The sequence below is a fragment of the Homo sapiens genome, chromosome 11 (assembly GCF_000001405.40).
Source record: "Homo sapiens chromosome 11, GRCh38.p14 Primary Assembly".
NCBI lineage: Eukaryota > Metazoa > Chordata > Mammalia > Primates > Hominidae > Homo > Homo sapiens.
In genome coordinates, this window is record NC_000011.10 from 23946249 (window position 1) to 23968542 (window position 22294).

At 35.7% G+C, this 22294-nt stretch overlaps 2 annotated features.

Moving 5' to 3' along the window:
• Window positions 15021-15676: an enhancer, noted in NCBI's record as "H3K4me1 hESC enhancer chr11:23982815-23983470 (GRCh37/hg19 assembly coordinates)". NCBI's record gives its function as "activates a minimal SCP1, AML or CMV promoter by ChIP-STARR-seq in naive H9 embryonic stem cells {active_cell/tissue: H9 hESC(naive)}" and the evidence as "EXISTENCE:reporter gene assay evidence [ECO:0000049][PMID:30033119]".
• Window positions 15677-16332: an enhancer, noted in NCBI's record as "H3K4me1 hESC enhancer chr11:23983471-23984126 (GRCh37/hg19 assembly coordinates)". NCBI's record gives its function as "activates a minimal SCP1, AML or CMV promoter by ChIP-STARR-seq in naive H9 embryonic stem cells {active_cell/tissue: H9 hESC(naive)}" and the evidence as "EXISTENCE:reporter gene assay evidence [ECO:0000049][PMID:30033119]".

The following is a 22294-nucleotide window of genomic DNA, read 5'->3' on the forward strand; positions in this document are numbered from 1 at the left end:
GCTTCCCTGTCTTGTGATCTCTGTTGTATAATCTGAGCAAAGTTACTGTTCTTACAATTGTTGTTCTCAGGTTGAATTCCCATTTCCTTGCACAAGGGCCTGGGAAATATCTTAAGGCAGAAAGTCAGGTGATCATAGTTCTTAAATTATTTGTATCTCTTTTGTCTTCTCTAAGCTGACTGTTGTCCAAGGTCTGAAAACAGTAGTTTCCCATATTTTCTCCATTTTGTTACTTGTTTATGTTTGAAGGACTAATCATATAGTAGTTTCTTCGATTTGTCTTATAGCAAAAGTTTTTCGAAATAAATTTTACTGCCTGTTGAAATGTATACTTATTTTGTTTTTAAATAGAGAAACAAGGTAAAAATACTAAAAATGCAAATATTCTAAGTACAATTTACTAAAATTAATCACTGTTTGCAGAGAAATTGATATTATACTAAATAAGCAAAATTTTCACAGTCTTGGAGATATTAATCACTTTGTATAAATTAAATTTTAACTTGAAATTGTACAAGGAAATATTTGTGAAAGTTTTCAGCAGTCATTACCTCAAAAATATAATAATTTTTTCTCTGTTTTATTTTTCATTTAAAGTTAATGGAGAACACACAATTTTTAAAATATAAACTACATTTTAGTACTTTTATTGATATTGTTTCTTATGAAAGTAACAAAATCAATTCATATTTATTATGTGTATATGTGTATATACAGAAAATATAAATTCCAAAATGGTGAAATATTTTTATAACTTTATAAATTTGATCATGACTTGTTAACTTCTACTCTTTATATATACATTCATGTGTTCACCAGAAAACATCTTTCTATACTTGTTTTACAGTCTTTTCCCCATTTAACAATATATTTTACATATATATGCATCCCATTAAATGATCCTCACCAACATCATTTTAGTTGGTTAAGTAATAGTTTCCTGTATAAAATGAAACATAATTTATTTAACCAAATCCTTGTTGTTTATATTATCTCAAAATTTTTATTACCTGAAGCCATGCTATGATAAAGATCTTTACTTGTACATTATATGTAATTCCTTCATTTTTGTTTCTCCCTTGAGGTTACAGAAGAGAAGTATAAATAATGAGGAAGATAGTACAGATTTGCTCACTAAACACTAACTCTGACTCCCTTCTAGATTTCCTTATGAACTATGGTATTTGAGAAACTCAATTGACCAGATTGCAGGGTTCTATATCTTATCAGTTTCCATGAAGTAAAATCATTTTTGTAGAATGTGAAGATCAAAGTGTGAAACTGAGGTGGTGGATGCTGGCTGGGAGATCAGCTATTTTATAAGCAGAGTGGTAGTGGTGTTTAGTTCCCTGTAGTAGCTGTGACTGATTTTTTCTTTACATTTCATTTAACAAGCTAATCATACAGTCAGCTCAACACTGAAACAGCGATGTGAACCAACAGAAAGGAAGGCATGCACTACCTTGTTGTAAAATGTAGTCACTTTGCAACACTACCTTGATGTGAAACATTAACCATGATGCCCCCAGCATCATGGTTATTGAGTGATGTGCAGCAGCAGCAGTGGTACAGTTCTTCAGTGTTGTGGGCATGTTTCCCAACTGGATTGTACCAGGATTTATGGCATCAAAGTTAGGTTCCTTAGCCCTTCATAGGATTCTGTAAATGAATACTCTTTAATAAATTTTCTTTGGCATAAATTAGCTAGAATGAATATTATTGTCATCTGTCAGGAATCTGGAATGAAGAGGGTCATGGTTTTGAATCTTTAGTCTTTTAAATAAATACACATTGCCTACTTATCTCCAAAATATTTGTTACCATTTACATTTGGACAAGCAGTGCACAGAAGTTTCCAGTTTTCTGAATTTTTTCATCATTAGGTATTATTGTTTGAAAAAAATTGAGAAAGGCACTCTGAACCACCCCACTCCATTATGTCCATGCCTCTTTGCAGAGGCTTGAACTCTTTAAAGTCATTCATTTTCACAATGACATATTTAAAGTTATTACTAATTTTTCTGACTCTTTAGTATTACGTATTGAATGCCTGCTATGTGCATACATAATGTACATACATTATCTACTTAAATGCCACAAAACTCAATGGTTTCATCTTTTAGTCATTAACCATTCTACAAAGTGACATCAACAAGGTTTACCATGTGAAATACTTCACTCCTAGATTCACAGCAAGTAAATGAAAGAAAAAGAATCCAAATTCAGGTAACCTGACTCATTAGCTCATGCTGATTCCAACTGTTCATCTGTCCTGTAGAATCATCTCTTAACATCTGTTCTCCTTCCCTGTGATATATGTAATTTTTAAGTTATACAAAATTGTCTTACCCTTAATTATTTCTGGTGGTCAAGGAAGCAGTTTGTAAGTAAACACACATACACACGTATATACATATTGAACTTTTAATCAGGTTGCTAGTGCCTAAGGCTGTTTCGCTAAAAGATAATCACTTATTGTTTATAGAGGTAGCTTTACTCAATGAAAAACCAGTGTTCCTTAGGCCACCTATTTCCTGATAACTGGCTGCTACGCACATATACTGGAAACTATGAAATTGTAAGAATGTTTACGAAAATATGATTTACATACAAATAGCATGTGTAAGTCTAATCTTAGTTTACTAGAAAAATGAAAGTACTTATAAGGATGATGTAATATCAAGCCAACAGAATGTAAAGCATTTCTAAATTGCTCAGAACTCTAATTAGCATAAAAAATCCAGTCTGAAATGGAACATCAGAAAACAGTATTTTTTTTTCCTCTAGTCTCTCTGGAGAGTACAGAGCTGGCTGCACACTAATGACACAAGGTCACTTCCACCACCTTGCATTGTGTAATTGAAGAACATATCCAAGCAAAGGATCACTTTGATGCCACAATTGAAAGCAAACGGGATGCAAAAGCAGTAATGTTTCACATCAAGGTAGTGTTGCAATGTGACTACGTTTTACAACAAGGTAGTGCATGCCTTCCTTTCTGTTGGTTCACATCGCTGTTTCAGTGTTGAGCTGACTGTATGATTAGCTTGTTAAATGAAAATGAATGTATGTAACATACACTATGAATGTATGTTCATAGTGTTCAGGTTGCCTCTTCTGACTGATGTCTTAAAATCAAGTCTTCTCTAACATTCAGCCAAAATCTAAGTCTAAAATGAACATTCAAATATAATAATTGACGTTTGTCTTAACTGAAATATCCATCTTCCAGGCAATGTCAATAGCTCACTCCTCTCTGCTTCCTTCGCACTTCCTTTGCACTTTGTGTTTATTTCATTTATTGCACTTATCATATTGTGTCATTTTATGAACATAATTTTACTCCCCAGATATTTTGCTGCCTCAGAGATCTTTACTTTGCCACTTAGCTCAGTAATTGGCATTGTGAAATAAAAATGAAATAGATGAATGAACAAATAAACCTTTCTCAAATGCTAAGAAGTAGGCTCTAGAAACCAGGGTTATAGCATAAAGGAAGAAAAACAGGTACCAAAAGGAGAGTTTGAGGGTCTTTCAACATTTCCTAGGGTGTGTTTGTTTGTAAGGGATTACATACATAACAGAAATCTAAAACTAATGCTACATTCTAATGTGTTTGGTTAGGAAAAAATAGTAAACTATTATTGTAGTTTGAGCACAAACACAAATAAATTTGGTGTATTAGTCCATTTTCACACTGCTATAAAGAATACCTGAGACTGGATAATTTATAAACAAAAGTTTAAATAACTAATAGTTCCATACGGCTAGAGAGGTCTCAGGAAACTTACAATCATGGTGGAAAGGAAAGGAAAGCCAGGCATGTCTTATATGGCAGCAGGAGAGAGAAAGGGACAGAGAGAGAGAGAGATAAGGGGGAAGTGGCAGATACTTATCACACAACCATATGTCGTGAGAACTTACCATCATGAGAACAGCATGGGGGAAACCACCCCCATAATCCAGTCACCGCCCATCAGGTCCCTCCCTCTAGATATGAGGAATGCAATTCCGATTACAATTTGAGATTGGAGTGGGGACACAGCAAAACCATGTCACTTAGTCTCAACTGAAAGGTAATTTCCAGAAACAACATAAAATACTAGCACATCATAAACGTCATTGGGGCATCTGATGCCCTCTAAACTGCAATTTTCTAATTGCTAAAATGATGATAATTGCCATTTTACCCTTATTTCTTCTAGGGTTAATACAAGAAATGGACAAGAAATATGTAAAAGCCTTGATGAATAATCAAAGATCACTGCTTTAGTTTATGTTTTACCACTTACTGATTTTCTAATATGGCATTTAAATTCCCTAACTCTGTCTGTTCGTTAACAGAAATGGGTAAAGATAACTATTTTCTGTGGTATCTGTATAAAACTGGGGATTTTAATCCACCCAGCAGGATTCACTCACCTATTGATGTCAATGCAGAGAGTTCCAGAAGAAGTGAGCTTAACTGACAAAGGATGAGATTGATAAAATACATGTTAAAAGGATATTAGCTGAAATTGTTTTTCTTAACATGATCAGATGACTGATGATTGCAATGTAGCTGAAATATTTATGATAATTTTTGTGGATTATTTTTTCACCCAAGCATATATATAGAAAACTCAGTGTTCAATGTTCCATAAAAAAGAAACTTAATGATTAATTTAGCTTACTTTTTACTTTCAATCAATCAAAAGAAAATCTGATTTGGAAATCTTTCTATTCCAAGTGTGAAAATTTTAGCTAGACTAGCAAATTAGTAAGACAGTCATTTCTCTTCAGAAATTCAGAGTCTAGCATAAGAAATAAGGTAACATTATATGAAAAATATTGATTAAAGTATAACCTCCTAATTACCAAAATTGAGGTAGAAAGCTCAATTAGGCTCTTTTGGCATCAAGTGGTTACCAAGAACATGACATTTATTAGACTGAAACCTCACTACCTGAAACTTTATATGTAATAAATATTTGCAAATAGGGATATATGGATAAATAGGAATAGATAAATGTGATCTTTTCATATTCAGTATTACCCAGTGGGGTGTATAGTTTGTTCACTTGTTCTGGAATCTGGACTCTCAATAACAACAATCTGGTAAAAGTGACCATTTTCTGTATTTATATCTCTATGACTAATATCACTATGCAGTCTATCTGTTACCTAAGCAAAAAATATGGAACTTGTAATGTAGTAGTCCCCACTTATCTGTGGGAGATATGTTTCAAGACCCCCAATAGATGTCCGAAAACATGAATAGTATTGGACCCCATATATATCATGGCTTTTTAAAAATCTGATAGTTGAGACAGCTATTAAGTGACTAACAGTTGAGTAGCCTATACAGTGTAGATATGTGCAGAGCAGGTCAGACTGGGACGGCTAAAGATTTCATCGTGCTATTCAGAAGAGGTGCTATTTAAAACTTATAAATTGTTTATTTCTGGAGTTTTCCATTCAGTATTTTCAGACTTGGTTAACTGAAACCTGAGAAAGCAAATCTGTGGATAATAGGGGATGCCTGTAGCATCTCCCTAGCAATTACCAAGTTCAGCTGAGTTTACATCTTCAGTAGTTCTCATATTTTTTCTGTCCTTATCATTCTTATTTTGTGTCCCAGGCACGGAACCTTCATTTGCCAATACTTAAACTATTGCAATGTCCTTTGCATTGTCTCCTCTAGAAGATGCTATATTTAAAAAGAAAGTCTGACCAAATTACTCCCTAGTTTATAACACTTCAGTGGACTCTCACTATCTTTTGAGCAAAAATAAATTTCATAGCTCAGCTTACAATGTCCTCCATCATTTGGGCCTTGCTTCGTTTTTTTTCTTTATGAACCACTACTTTTTTTTCACAAAGGATGTTCTAGTAACAACAACAACAACAATATGATGGATTGGGATCCCTAAAAGAAACCATATGCTATTTCAAAAGTTCTAAGACTTTCCAAATGTTTTGCCTGGGCTTGTAATTCTCCTTCCTCCCCTTCTATATTGCTTAAGTAACTTCTACTTATTCTCCAAAACAAAACTCAGTTATTTTCTCCATTAATATATTCTAGAGTCTCCTCAACCCCAAGGATATATTAGGTGAGCTACTTTTGACTCCCTAGTAGGCTGTTCATTCTTGTATCTTAGCATAGTAGCAGTGGTTAAGACTAGGGCTATGAAGATACATGCATAAGGATTCAATTCCCCTCTCTCATACAAAATTACCTTAACCTCTCCAATAAACTATTCTTATCTTCAAAATGAAGTTTAAAATGCTGCTTAATTCATACGGTTCTTGTGAAGATTTCATGGTAATGAGATAGGAGGCAGACTCAACTCTGGAGGTGGGACTCAGACACCGGACCAGATTGAGAACTAACTGAAACAAGGAAGAGATAGGCAAAAGCATCTCTCAATAAGACATGTCCATCAGTGCCATGTCAGTTTACCATTGCCATGGCAACATCCAAAAGTAGACATCTCTATGGCAACAACCTGACCACCTCGAAGTTACCACCCTATTTCTAGATGTTTCTCCATAATATGCGCCTTCATTTGCATATAATTAAAAGTAGAAATAAATATGACTGAACAACTGCCTCTGAGCTGCAAGTCTGGGCACACTTCATACAGCATAGCCCTGCTCTGCAAGGAGCAGTGCCTCTGTTGCTGCTTCAGTGAAAGTTACTGTGTGACACCACCGGCTCACCCTTGAATTATTATCTAGGCAAAGCCAAGAACTCTCCAAGGCTAAGCCCCAGTTTGGGGGCTCACCTACGCTGCACCAGTAATAGGCTAGTAAAGCCTTTAGCAAAGGCCCCAACACATGGAAAAGGTTATATGAATATTTTCTATTGCACCAGCTCCTACCAAATAATTGAAGTGAAATTATTTCTTACCATTTTTCTCACTAAATGAAGGGACTTTGCAAGCAAGGCTCCTACTCTCTTCTTCGATATATCTCCAAAAGTGGGCCCAGGGCTTGACACATGGTAGACACCTATTTTGTCGAACCAAATAAGCGTATGGACCTTACTTTACTATTTATTCTATTTTATTTTATTTATTTCTTTTTTTAGAAACATGGTTTTGTTATGTTGCCCAAGCTGGTCTTTAAGTTTTGGCCTCAAGTGATCCTCCTGCCTCAGCCTCCCAAAGCAATGGGATTACAGGTATAAGCCACTGCACCCACCCACACTTTATCATTTATAAACAATATTAGAGATGTCATATTGAATGAGAAAATGAAGCAGTTAAGGTAATTGTCCAAGACCCAGTTAGTTGCAAACTGGTTTGACATTTGATTTTCTAAAAGCAAATCCTTTGTTATAGCATAGCGCACCTTCAGCCTGGAACTACTGCTTTTTCTGACAGATTTTCTCATTAGCTAGAAGTGTCAGACACAGTATTTGAGCTCGACATAATTTTCACTTAACGCATCAGAGAATTCAAGATTTTCACCAAACAAAAGCCATAAGCATGATTCCATTGGCAACATAAAGGACTCAACAAATAACACCATATTGATGCTTGAGCATTCCCATTTTTCTGGAAATTGTAGCAAACAACTTGATTATATGAAACAATGGACTCCAATGAGCATACCTTAATAGAATATCTATCCTGGTAGGAGAAATATTATTTATGACAAAAAACATCATAGTGAGTTTTCACTGTCCAGAAATACCAAGTATTTGGTGATCAACACTTGATCACAAGTAGGCCATAATGAATAAAAGGAGTTAAAGTAGCTACTGGTAAGGGCCAAGTCATTTTTTTCCGCTAAAACTGGAATATATGGTGAGTAGATTTTTGTCTTGAACTGATCTGAGAACACCAGGCATGCTGTACTTAGCTTGATCTACTCTAAATAGTCTTGTTGTGGCTCAGGCATTATTCTAATCCTGAGAAGAACTTCTTTCTTTCCCATCTGCTGTCTATCTGAAAGTTGTCAATTTTTGACAGAGCAGAGCATGCTTTTTCTCTAACTTGCAGCTTTTTACAAACACAGATATCATAGGCTATGTAATTAATTAGATGGAACCATATACAATTGCCAGTATTCAACATTTTTGAGTTACAAAAAAATGAAAGTTTTATAATTTTCACTGGAACATATGTTCTCTGAACTCACCATCTACTGTCTGTTTTTCACTTTGGTATTCCAAAGATCTGAGAATGCTTTGTTTGGAAAATTTAAAATAACCATACAAAAAGCCCCAAAGTATAACACATACTTAAATGTAGCAATAGCTCTACATGCTTATGTGTATGCATGTACGTATTAGGCTGCTAAGTAATACAAGCAATTGAGAAAGAAAAGAAAGTCAACATGTTTTGATGATGTCTCAGAAGCATGTTAGAGGCTCTTTTTAAGTTACTTATTGTAGCCTCACAGTTTTAAAAGTTGGTCAGCATTATACTTATAGAAAAAAAACTAAAAAAACTAGGCTCACAGAAGCCAAATCACAGTTAAAGTTACTTAAGTTTATCTAGGCTTATACCTTAGCCCAAGTGTCTAAAAAATCCCTCTCGTTTCTACTGCACAAAATTTGTATACATATAAATTTCCTGCAAGTCAAATCAGGACAGTGTTATTAAGTATTGAATACTTTTGTGAATGTCTCAGTAGTCAATAGCTTGTGTCAGTGCAGCATGACAGACTGCCATCACCCACACCTGGCACCAACATGAAACCAGTGAGATAAACTATGTAGGATGTGAAACATAAGCACAATTCTATTTCTTCTGACAGTGTAAACTGCTCCATATTTGCCACAGAAAACTACTAAAAACAAAGCACAAATGTCATTTTGTGTAGAGATCTACAATTCTTTTACCAGCTGATACAATTCAAATAATAAGAACTCGGCCTATAACGTGTGTGTGTGTGTGTGTGTGTGTGTGTGTGTGTGTTGAGGGGATAGTTTTACATTATTGCGGTAAAAGGGGGAATATTGGCATGTGCACTCCCCTTTTTATATAGAAAAGGATTTCCTGAATGGCAGCTGCTTGATAAATACTTAGAAATGTGTTGATTCTCTCACCTGCAATTTTATTCTCCATTCAGAGTTGTTACTGTTTTCTTTTTTTCTTATTAAACTGGGAAAAACTGTAGAAATAAGGATTTTAGAAGTACAAAGGACCTGAGATACTAGTCACTTAGCTAATTATGAGAATTGACAAGCTGCAGCTCAGAGAGGGAAGGTTTCTCATTATAGATCCCAACTAATGTACCTGGGCCCTTGTGATTAGGTTTATGATAATAACTATGGTTATGCGTCAAGTGGAGAACGAAGTCTAGGTATTATAGAGGGGTTTAGTGTTCCTGGAAACATACTGCATTAACATTCTGCTGCAGTGCTTACAACTTTAGATTTTAAGCATGTGTATTTTTTACAGAAATGACCCTATTCTCTATGGAATTCATTTATAACACAAGGAACAATGGCAACACCAAGAAAATGTCTACTATTTGTTGAGCCTTTACTATGTAGTTTACGTGCATTATCTCATGGCCTCACTACAACAATATGAGCAAGTTGTCATTATTATTCTATTTTATAAATGAGAAAACTGAGGTATAGCAAAGTAACTAGCTCAGTGTTCCTTGGTTAATAGGTAGTAGATCCAGAATTGTTACCTAATTCTGATTCCAGTATCTGAACTATTAATAAAAAAATATTTGGACATATTTGGGAAATCTACAGCATGCTGAGTATCAGTTCCCATCATGAGTTTTCACTTAAATAATATTTACACATTATAATATTAACTACTATTACAGAAAATATGGACAAGGATAAAGAAGAATATAATATATAAAATATATTCCACACACCAAGAGATAACCACTGTTAAAAATTTTGAGTAATTTTTTTCAGTAACACATCTGTCAGCCCGGATATGAGCCTAGATTACATGTAAGTATATGGATATAATGTATATAGGTCTACATGTATATTTGAGTCACAGGTCGATTTTGCATCATTCTTTCTGTCTACTGCAGTTCCAGTTGTAGATAACTGGTCTTTTGATGTCCAGCAGATTTCTCTTTTTCTTTAGTGAAGACCATCACCTGCAGGGTAGCCTGCAGGGTAATTCTCAGCAGACAAGCACTTACTGTCTCCTCATTTACTAATGTTTAACACCCTTCTTAACTTTTACTTTTAATTTCAAACTCAATCCACATGCCGATAGGAGTGTCTTTGGACTTCACTAATTAAGATAGTCCCAAAGGCGAATATTGTAGTTAATAAGGGAGCTCAAATCATTGTTCACTGATGAAATAACTTACCACAAATCATGATAGTATTTTACAATTAAACAAATGAGACCAGAAAGTTGGGTGGAATTTTTAAATTAAGCTGAGACCATTTTCATTCACCGATAAAGTTCATTAGAAAAAAAATAATGCAAGAACTTAGTGATTTTACAAATTTTTGTGATTTAATACTTATTTTTGAGCTTGTTCCTACTGCATGACATGGAGTACAGTGTAACAGGATGCTCTTAGCCACAAGCAACACTAAATTCTGACTCACTTTGCTTGAAAAGAAAATCATTTTTACCATCATATAAAGGCAGCCGCAGGATTAATTAAGTCAGTAGCCTAACAATGTCATCAAGGACCCAGTTTCTTTCCATCTTTCTTTCTTGACACGTTTGGTGTATCAGTTTAACTCACCCAATGGCTCCAAGAGAACTAACAAAATTCCAGGCCTTGCAAGAATACTTTCATCAGAAAACCTTTTAGCCCCCATATATGATGGTCAGTTTTATGTGTCAATTTAACAGGGCTATAGTACTCAGTTTTATGGTCAAACACTAACCTAGGTGTTTCCCTGAAGGTATTTTGTACAAGTGACTAGCATCTACAATAAGTTATGTAATGGAGATTATCAGGAATAATCAGTGAGATTCATCCAATTACCTGAAAGGCCTTCAGAATGACCATGAATATTCCCTGAGGAAGGAAGAAATTCTACCTGCAAACTGCAGAATCAGCTCCTGACCGAGAGATTCCAGCCTGTATTTCCTGACAGCCTTCCCTATACATTTTTTACTTCCTTAGACAACCCTTACAATTACGTAACCCAATTCTTTACAATAAATCTCATTTGTATATTTTGCTCGTTTTGTTCTTTTCCTCTGATGGAACCCAGACTGACATGCCATACTTTTATCCGGAATAAAAGCTTTACAGAACAGCCATCCTCACAAGTCTTTCTGTCACATCATATTGAGCAGAATTGCATCACATATTTCTCCTCAAAGTAACTGTTATGAAGCATAAAGGAATTTCCGCTTATCAGAATTTACCCCCAGCCACATAGGAGTGGACACAAAAAGAAAATAAAGTGATAGTTTTGTTAGTAAAGAAGTGAACAGTCATCAGGAAAGAAACAAACAGTGAGGTTCAAAAAAAAAAAAAAAACTGTCAGCATCCTTTCTTACATTCAGAGGTGTACAATTTATATAACAGAAAGATGATTAATCCACGAATATTTCTGGGTTGCAATCAGCTTCTATCTCAAAATCCTCATAATTTCCCTATGTCCCACAACCACTCTGGCTGTTTCATTATAATTAAAATGAAGAAGCTGAATTAAGTCAACTGCAAGCTCCTTTTAGCTTAGTCTGAAATAAAGCTAAAATTCTGTTCTTTATAAACTTGATAAAAGTAAACACATTCTTCATGACCCAGCTTATATTCTTTCTTCTGAATTAAGTTCTCTGTTACAGCTCCATAGAGAGTAAACATCCCATCAGCATTTTATCAAGCCTATAACGTACGCATATTACTGCCATATATAATTTTTAATAATGTACATTATTTGTGTTATTCCACATGACAGTAAATTCATTTAAATAAGTAATAATATTTGAGCCATTTTAATATCTACAATTCCTACATTAGCATCTAACACACAGTGAGTAAGCATCTGATAAACAAGCATTAATCTTCATTACATTCCTGCAAATATATAGCAATTAAATTGCTGCATGGGCTGCTAATTAAAATAAATAAATAAATTATACCTTTCTGGGATAGGGCTTAAGCCAGTGCAAATGTGACAAATGTTTTAGAGGCTAACTTATCTGATCTGTATATTAGGAATGATGGTTACATGTCACTGAATGACACTCTCTAAAAACGGACCTAATGTTAAAGTGAGAGAACTGTGTACTTAGTACAATCCTTGCACATTGTGGAAAGCATGCTGTAGTCACTAATCATTGTTACTCAGAATCTATGTGACATTGACATGACTATAAAACTGCCTATAGACATTAAGTTGAGGGTCAAAACAAACTAAAAACAGGTATACATCAAAACACTACTGTTTTTCTAAACACCGTCTATCCTCAGTTCAGTATTCTTATTCCTGGTCCCATATATGAAAGGCATTGTAGATATGCGATGTAGAGACCCATCATAAGGGTCACAGCTGACACCCCTATACCAAAAGACAGGTTAACAAGAGAAAAGCATAACAAATTTATGTGATCCTGATTTTATGGTGACATGGGAACCTTCAGAATGAACACCCAAAGATACAGAGAAAACTAACAATTTTTTTATGATTAGTTTCAGTGAAGAATTCTGCAGTCATGTAGAACTGTGACTGCAAAAAGGGAATGCTTTAATGCTAATAGAATGAATGGGGAAACTCAGCATGGCCTACCTGTTCAGATTCTTCTTGGTCTCTCTGTGTGGCATTTGTCCCTCCTGGGTATGGGGCAGGACACTTCCTGGAATGTGGATCTTATGACCCACTATCAAACAAGGTAGATTAGTAAATTTCTTTGTGACCAGTTCTTCTTACACAAAAAGGTGGAGGAAAGGTAGAATAATATTTCTAGGTTTTATCATTGGCTTTGGAGAAAAGGAGCTCTGGTTTCTATAATCCACCTTGGAAAAGCAAGACTCTAGTTTTTATGGGTAGCCTTGGGAAAGAATGAGAGGTCAGAGAAAGGAGGGCAGAAGAAGTTTGCAGATAAACTTGGCTCCTGAGTTGAGTCTGATGCCTTCACTTTGGAGTATTGTTTCCTGTGCTCCAAGAACACTCCGAGAAGTTATCCAAGAGTTGGGAAAAATCAGTCATTAGAATCCAAACCTCCTGCTATGATCTATAACCCCAGATGTGTAATAATATTAACTATAACCTACATTCATTCTGGTTCCCTTTCTTTCTTATTTTCTCAGTTGAAGACACCTATTGTGTCTCAAATCTTTCAGCCTCACATATTTTGTATGTAGTAAAAACTATAAATGTGTCTTTAAGAGCCATTTATTATGCATGGAGCTTAATCACGACTAAAGGACAAGTATAAATTCAAGGCGGTCTGCATTTCATTCTTGCATACCTCTCTTTGTTGATAGTATCATTCTGTGGAAAATTAGCATTTAAATACAAAATCCCTCTAGCATTGCGAGGTAGATGTGACTCACAAGAGGTGAAATAAGCTACCAGGATTTTGTTGCTGTTGTTACCAAGCATCCCCTCATATAAAAACACACATTTGTACCTATTTTGGCCTATGTCTCTAAGCTGATAAAAATGACCTGTATGCAGAGTAAAAAGTAATCATTAAAGTAGAGACAGGAGAAGTGCTTGTCATTGTCCTTGAATAGTGAATGAATCTAGTGTTCAAGTGGCAAGGTTGCCTTTAGATTGAAGCATCAAAAGTTCATCTTTAGCAATGAATAGGCAGAGTATGTAGGTGTGGTAGGTAGGTGGTCCATATAGAAAGCTTTTCATAAGAGGTGGAAATTTATCTCAGATAATTCAGAAAAACTGAGAAGAATGAAGCATGTTTCCTACTTTACCACGCTTTTCATTTCTGTTCATGTTTTTCAGGAATCAGGTCAAGCATCACTTCCTGCTCTCTGCTCCCATAGTGCTAGGCACACACCTCCTTTATGCTAGACTCTGAGTTTCAAAGGCAAAGGTTCTATCCTGTTTGTTTTGTATTTCATGACTTTTAACAGTACTTAGAATATAGCTAGAAAAGTTCCTAGAATATTATTTTTGTATGAAAAAATGATCAAAAAAAGAACACTGTTGCTGTTAGATTTTTATGATTTTTCCTGTTATTGGAAAGTTATTTTTGTATAATTAGATGAATTCAGATTTATGACTAGATTATATTATAGGCAACCATAGAATTCAAGAACTAAATGTAATTAGACAAAGATGTCAATCACTCTCACATTAGAAACAAACTTTTATTTAGACATGCATATGAAACACCTAAATGAGCAGAAAGACCTGTTTTCGGTGCTTGACCACACTGTAGTATATTATAAGTAATACATTGAATAACTCCTTTTTACCTGCGTAATTTGGAAAATTATCACCATAAAAATATTGAAAATCTGTATGCCATCAAAATCTATTTTTAAAGAACTTCATCAGCTGTCAAACCATGACAGCTCTTCTCTGCATAAAAATTTGCGACAAAGACAGCAATAATGAATTTCTAGAGCTGTGCCACTACTTGATATTAAAACTGTGCTCTTCTCAATTTGGTGAGAAAAGATGCTGCCTGGCTGACAAAAACAGTTCCTTTATCACTACAGAAAATTTGAGAGGAGAGTATATTCTGACGTAAAAGAGCCAAGCAATAGAATTGTGTTAGATAATCATTTTCCTGGAAAGAGAGATCTAAAATTAAAAATTCTCCCATTAATTAATTAGGTAACCTTGGGAAAATCACCTAGTCTCTCTGGTCTTAATTATCCTTGTGCCTGGAATGAGGAGTTTTGAATTGATTATCCTCTATATCCCTTTGAATTTGTTATATCCAAAAGCTTACTCATCAATTTCTAAAATTAAACCTAGTAACTGACAAGAACCGGTTCTTAGTATTGGAATGAAGCTATAAGATGTATAGCATCCCAAAGACCCTTGTCTTTGGTCTAATGGTGAAATTTAGAATGTTAAATATTTCTGTTTTTTCAATGTGGGCTGCAGGTAGATTTCATGTGAAAGCTTTTTGTGATGATACCACGTGCCTTCAGAAGAAATAGTTTGAATGGCAAAGCTTGCCTTTGAATATAAAAGTAAAAGCTTCGTGTCATAAAACTACTCAACAATTTCATTCACTTCTCTTTTCCAAAGCCTTTTTTTCTAGTGAAACCTCAAGTAATCTGTTGTTTCAGAGAGTATGATGGGAACAAAACTTAGGCTGAGTTTTAAATATAATTCCTGCCTTTCAACTCAGTCTTCCAACTAATCCTCCTCATCTCATAATGTGAACTAATTGAAGTTTCATGCTATCTCAGTGACCCTTAATGAAATTATTCACTCACTTGTGTAGTGTTCTCCAACACTGACTCTGAAATAGGTGAGATGGAACATCAGTAAGAGCGATAAAAGCAGAGCTTGGTAATCTATTACACAGATGGGAGATTCAAGAGCCAGAATGAAGAATGGACAAGGAAATTCCCGACTCAGCATAATTGATGGCAGCCGCTGCCGCCATCACACAGGCTGCAGCAGGGAGGCATAGCAGGGGCTGCACACTCCATGGAGCTGGTGGGAGTCCCACCCCTTCTGAATTGGGACGAGAGCTTCCCTGTTGCCGCTGCAGCCGCCCAAACCAGGGCTGCAGACCCGGGCCTCTTGCTCTGTGCAGCAGGCAGGAGCACCGCCCTCCTGGGTGAGGCTACAGCCACCCAAATTGCATCTGTGGATGGGAGCCTCCCTGTGCTCTTGGAAGCGCCAGGATCAGGTAGGATTTGTCTTCCTAGGTTCAGCTGCAACCACCCCACCTGGGCTGTAGAACTCGGCCTCCTGCTCCACAGAGCGAGCAGGAGCCGGAAACAAGCAGGAGCTCCACCCCTTCCTAGTTGGCGGGGTGGGAGATCCCCGGTGCAGCTAAGGCTGCCCCTCCCAGATGCAGGACATGGGCATCTCCGCAGCTTGCGTCCTTGGCCTGAAGGCTGGGGGCCGGGCTGCCAGTCCCGTGCACCACAGTGGGGACTCGTGGTGCCTCTTCCCATGGACCAATCAGCACACATTTTCTCCCCTCTGAGGTCCATAAAAGCCCTGGCTTCAGCCAGAGCAGGAGAGAGGACTGAGAGGATGGAGAGACAACGGGACCACCAGCTGCAGAGAGGAGCTACCCTCTCTGCTGAGAGCTTCCGAGACCTGCAGAGATGTCTGAACCACCTGCAGAGAGGAGCTACCCTCTTCAGGGCCACCTCTCTGCTGAGAGTTGAACACTCCACAGGAGGACTGCCTGCCAACAGAGGGGATCTACCCATTGTGGTCTCCTCTGGGCTGTTCTAACACTAAATAAATCTCCTCTTTGTGTTCTTCACCGTTCGCTCGTCTACGTCTAGGTACCTCATTCCTCCTGGACGCAGGACAAGAACTCAGGTAAATGCCACAGGCCATAAAAGCTTCCGGGAAGAAAATCAATACCCCAGAGATATCACAACATAATCAGGGTCTAAAGTTCTATGTGCCCAATGAAAGGCTTTATAATCTATGCCTGGATGTTTCCTATTTTCTCTCTCTCTCTCTCTCTCTCTCTCTCTCTCTCTATCCTTGTATGGGAGAAATGGTTGCTATTATCCCATGGTGAAACTATCATCCCAGCTCCACATCTGCATATGTGTGTGCAGTGTGGGTGTGTGTACAGAAGGTTAACTCATTGTCTTTTCTTTCATGATTTGCAAAAGAATTAGCAAGCACAAATAGACCTACAGGGGAAGACTGCATCAGACACACATCTTAGACTTTGAGCTAGAGGCGGTTATTTATGCTATCATGTTGCTAAAAGGATGAATACAATTGTTCATATGGTAAGAGGGGAAAAGTCAGTATTTGGTGATCAGAAAGACATGATGTGGTAGAAATTAATATGTTTTGACCAAATCCTATTTTATAATTTTCCCAGAACATAGCAAAACAACAATTTTTATCCTTAAGTTAATTGTAGCTATATGGCTAAAAATGAACCAGTGTAAGGTAAGCAAAAGTGATGTTTGCCACTTCTAGGCCTGTGTCATTAAAACCTTTCACGTTTGTTCTGCCATGTAATTTTCTCTTTTGTACTTTTGGGATATGATAAGAACTACCTGGAATTGCCGAACTAGAAAAATAAGGTATGATAGTGAAAAACCTGCTTGCCATATCACTCTAAGAAACTTGATCAAGTTAGAGAACATTTCATTTACTAGACTTGGGTAGGTGCCACCACTTCTTAGGAGTTTTAGGGCTGATTAAGGGATCCAGCCAGTCACACTACAGCAGGTCTGAGCTGCCACTCAAATTGGCAGTTCGTAGGGTTTACCTCACAATTGCATTTGCTCCTGAAGGTGATTTACAGGAAACAACTCCAAGGCTATGAAAAGGAATTGAGGTACAACAAAGACATAGCTTGATTTATAAACTTTTAAACGTTTACAAACATGGTATGGGTAGCTGTATACTTACCCTTGGAATTGCAAATATTAGGAGTGGTTCTATTGGTCTCTCTCAGCCTTTTCCTTGTAAGATCAAGACGTCATCTCTTCTCTTTATAACTGGAACTATCTGGACTTTAATAAATATATTGGAGCATTATGACAAGGTGAAAAAATATGAATTTATAAGTCTGGTAGGACATGGTATATGTAGTTTTCCTAACGAGTGGTAGTGTTATTTTCAGAGAGCATGCTATAAATTATTTAAGTTCTATAGGAATATCCCTTTAACAAAGACATAATAATTCCACCATCATGAGAATAATGCAACAAAAATTATGTAGATAGCTAGACATTATAAGCCATTTTGCCTTATAATGATCCCAAGCATCAAAAGGGAAAGATGGCATATTTGGAAATTTGTCAGTTCATTTCTAATTTTACTATTGGTCCTTTTCAAAATTATCATCCAGGTAGGAGAGACTAAGGACAAAGAAAAAAATTATAGTTTATTATATGTCAGGTCACACTCAAGTCATTTGATTCGAGCACCAAACAACATTGTCCAAAACCAAACAGTAGTCAGAACTTGGCTGAGAGACACCCCAAATGTTGGAATCATCAGATGGGCTCTTTAAAATAACTATGTTCAATATATAAAGTTTTCTAGTACAAAATATGTTCTTTGGAAAAAGAAGAAATAATTTTTAACAGAAGAAAATTATCAGAGTGAGTTTAAGGAATTTACAAGAAATAGGAAATGTGATTTAAAAGATAAAGAATTAATTAAGTGGGATCAGCAGTAGAGCTGAAACAGTTCAGAAAATAATTGTTAAGAAAATTGAAATTACTCTACTGAAATACAAGGAGAAAAGTGGAAAACAAGTGCAAAGCAAACACTAGAATAAACCACTTAATAACTGTGGGACAATATAAAATTATCTAATGTACATTTAATTGGGGTGCCAGAAAGAGAAGAGTGAGAATAGGACAGAAGAAATATTTTAAGAGATAGTGAATAAAAATCTTCCAAAAATTATAAAAGATAATCAAACCAGAGTTTCAAAAATTCAAAGAATCCCAAGTGACATAAATACTAAATACCAATTTGGTACTGTATCACGGCTTCTTTAATGCTTTGTTCTGATGTTTTGTTTTGTTTTTGCTTTCTGTTTTTCTTTTTGTATTTCAGTGTTTTCTCTTTTTTTGAAAACTGCTTAGCTTTATCTATTATTACTGAAGATACACAAACATATACCCCAGAAATTTTACTCTTAGATATATGCTCAATAGAAATATATCTATTTGGTTACGGAAAAATCTTTACGAGGATGTTTATCACAGCATTAATCATATATATTCAAGATAGAAACAACCTAAATGTGAGCATTCTTTTTTCAGCTATTTCAACTCTACAGCTAATCCAAATGAGACTACCACCACTACTACTATCACTACAATGACCACCGCACATGCATGCATGCACATACATACACACACACACAAACACACACACGCACACAAACACACACACACAACTAGCTATATATGTCATAGTTAAATAGTTGAAAATGAAAGGTAAAATAGAATCTTGAGGGCTGCCAAAGAAAAAAGACAAATTACCTAAATGAAGGAAAGTTATATATTACAGCAGATTTCTCATTATAAACTAACCAGTTTGCAGTGGAATAACGGCCTTAAAGTACAGAAAGAAAAATACTACCAACTCAGAATTCTACATCCATAGAAAACACATTTTAAAAATAAAAGTGAAATGAAGACTTTTTCAGAAAAACAAAAGCAAAAAACATTGATTAGTAGCATGCCTGTGCTACAAGAAATGGTAAAGAAAAGTTTTCAGGCAGAAGGTTTATGACACCAGAGATTAAAATTTACATAAAGAAATGAAGTGTTCCAAGAACAGTGAAATTAAATGCAAATATACAATATATATTTTCACTATTTTAATTAATCTTAAAGATAGTTGATAGTCGAAAGTAAAACTATTGACAAGGAAATGTGAGGTTTATAACATATGGGAAAGTAAAGCATATAATAAAATAGAAAATAGGTGGTTGCATTTGATGTATAGTATTGAAAATTCCTTGCATTTATATGTGTCATAACATTACCTGAAAGTAGATGGTTGTCCATTAAAATGTATATTTGAAGCACTAGAAAAAAAACTGAAATAAAATGTGTAGCTATTGAGCAATTGTGTCGATACATTAGAATTATAAATATTTTTGACATACAAAAATGAAAGAATTTACCAAAAGCCTATCCACATAATAAGAAATGTTAAAGGATGTTTTTTCTCAAGTAGAAAGAAAATCATTTTAGATGAAAATATAAATAGGATAATACATCATGATCAAAAGCAACAAAAAATGTTCAATTTTAAAATAAGCAAAAGATTTTGATAGACACTTAATAAAAGAAGTTATACAGATAACAAGCACATTAAAAAGATGATTAATACTGTTAATCATCTCAGTATTGCAAATTAAAACCACAACTCGATGTTTCTACACACTTACTAGAATGAGTAAAATTTTAAAGTCTTACTCTATCTTGTTTTGTCAAGAATATGGAGCAACTAGAACTCTCATACACTAATGGATGATATGTAAAATCATACTACCACTTTGGAAAACAGTTTGACAGTTTCTTAAAAGTTAAATGTTTTCCTACCATATGATCCAGTCAATCTACATTTAAGTATTTAAGACGTGAAAGAAAATGTCTCTATATAAGCGTGTACATAAATGTTCACAGCATCTTTATTTGTATTAACCAAAAATTGAAAATACCCTGCTTATCAACAGGTAAATGGATACACAAATCATGATACACACACAAAATGGAATACTAGAAATTATACGGTGTAATAAAATGAATAAGCTTGATATGTACCAAGATGAATGAATCTAAAAATAATCATGTTTAGTGAAAGATGCCAGTCAAAAAGACCATATGCTATTTAATTCCATGTATACAAAATTCCTGAAATACAGGCTTCTCTGTCGTGAAAGGAGATAGTTGTTGCTTGAAGATGGGATTGGAAAAGAAAGAGGATTACAAAGGGGCATAGAGAAATTTTTCAGGATGATATGCATGTCCACAATCTAGATTGTGTGATATTTTTCATGGGTAGATATTTATGTCAAACTTACCTAATTGTATTTTTAAGTATATGAAGTTTATTGCATGTCAATTTTTTAACAAGTTGCAAAGCTTTACTAAACTTTAGAATACTACTCAACAATAAAAATAAACTGTTACACAATGACATGTTTCATAGAAAAAAGCATTAAGTAAAAGAAATAAGACTCAAAAGCTGTATGCTATATGATTTTATTTATAGGACATTCTAGAAAAGGTTGAAGCATTGGAGCATAAAACAGATCAGCGGCCGGGCGCGGTGGCTCACGCCTGTAATCCCAGCACTTTGGGAGGCCGAGGCGGGCGGATCACGAGGTCAGGAGATCGAGACCATCCCGGCTAAAACGGTGAAACCCCGTCTCTACTAAAAATACAAAAAATTAGCCGGGCGTAGTGGCGGGCGCCTGTAGTCCCAGCTACTTGGGAGGCTGAGGCAGGAGAATGGCGTGAACCCGGGAGGCGGAGCTTGCAGTGAGCCGAGATCCCGCCACTGCACTCCAGCCTGGGCGACAGAGCGAGACTCCGTCTCAAAAAAAAAAAAAACAAAAAAAACAAAAAAAACAAAAAAACAAAAAACAAAAAACAGATCAGCAGCTTCTAGGAGTACAGGGGAAAGGAGTAGGTTCATCAGGAAGGGGCATGAGGGAACTCCTTAGGGGATGGTGGAAATATGCTATGACTTTTCAGTCATAGTGTTTACATAACTGCACATATTTTACCAGATTCATAGCACTGTGCTCCTAGAAGAGCTAACTGTCACCTATATAATTTATACTTCAGTAAACCTGCCTTAGATATGTATTTTAAACATGTATACACAGTTTCTTTCCTTATTCCTTTAACTGACTACATTCATATAATCAACATTTAGTATGTGAAGTGCAAGCTGCATGGTGCACAGGATTAACACAAATAATTTCAAAGATGCACTTGTGCCTTTTTTCCACTTTAATGCTTTTCTCTAACATGAAAACATTTTGCACTGAACTTGTCACAGAGATTGTGCGGAGCAATGCTGTTTTATTTTAAATGATGCATTATAACTTTCCTAATATATTGAAAAATTAAGAGAAGAAAAATGTAATCAAGCATAGCAGATTTTCATGAAATTACTTATTTCTGCATTAATTAATTGATTAAGCATCAACATTCTCTGGAGAAGTGTTCTCAACCTTTTTTAAAACCCCTAATTCTCATCTCATAAAAATTTCCCTGAGCTGTGCCTTTTAGAATTTGCATTAGAAGAACAATAGTACATTTTCATGCTTCCCACATATAAAATGATATTCTAACATCACATGGATTTATCAAACTTATATATATTCTTGTCTCCTATCTCTCCCCAGAGTGTCTGCCACGCCTTTCTCTTTTCAACTTCCTCTCCTCTTTCAGAACGTCTGCTATGACATTGGGACATTATTTTAATAGCCACACTGTGCCCGTGGCTCCTTTCCCACATCTCAGGGCCGCAACTTAGCCTCCCTCACCTCGGTCCTCCACAAGTGATCCCCTTGGGTTGAATCTTTTGGATGTTTTGCTAATATAAATAAAAGATACATTTTTACACTTTCATTCCACCTCCTAACTGGCAGCCTTTGAAATAGGTAGCTGTTTTAGTCACTAGAGGTGAGACAGAGAAAAAATAAAAATAAGCTTCACAGAGCTCAAGCATTCACACCTGATTTTCTTTGCTATTTTTCTCTAAGGAAATTAA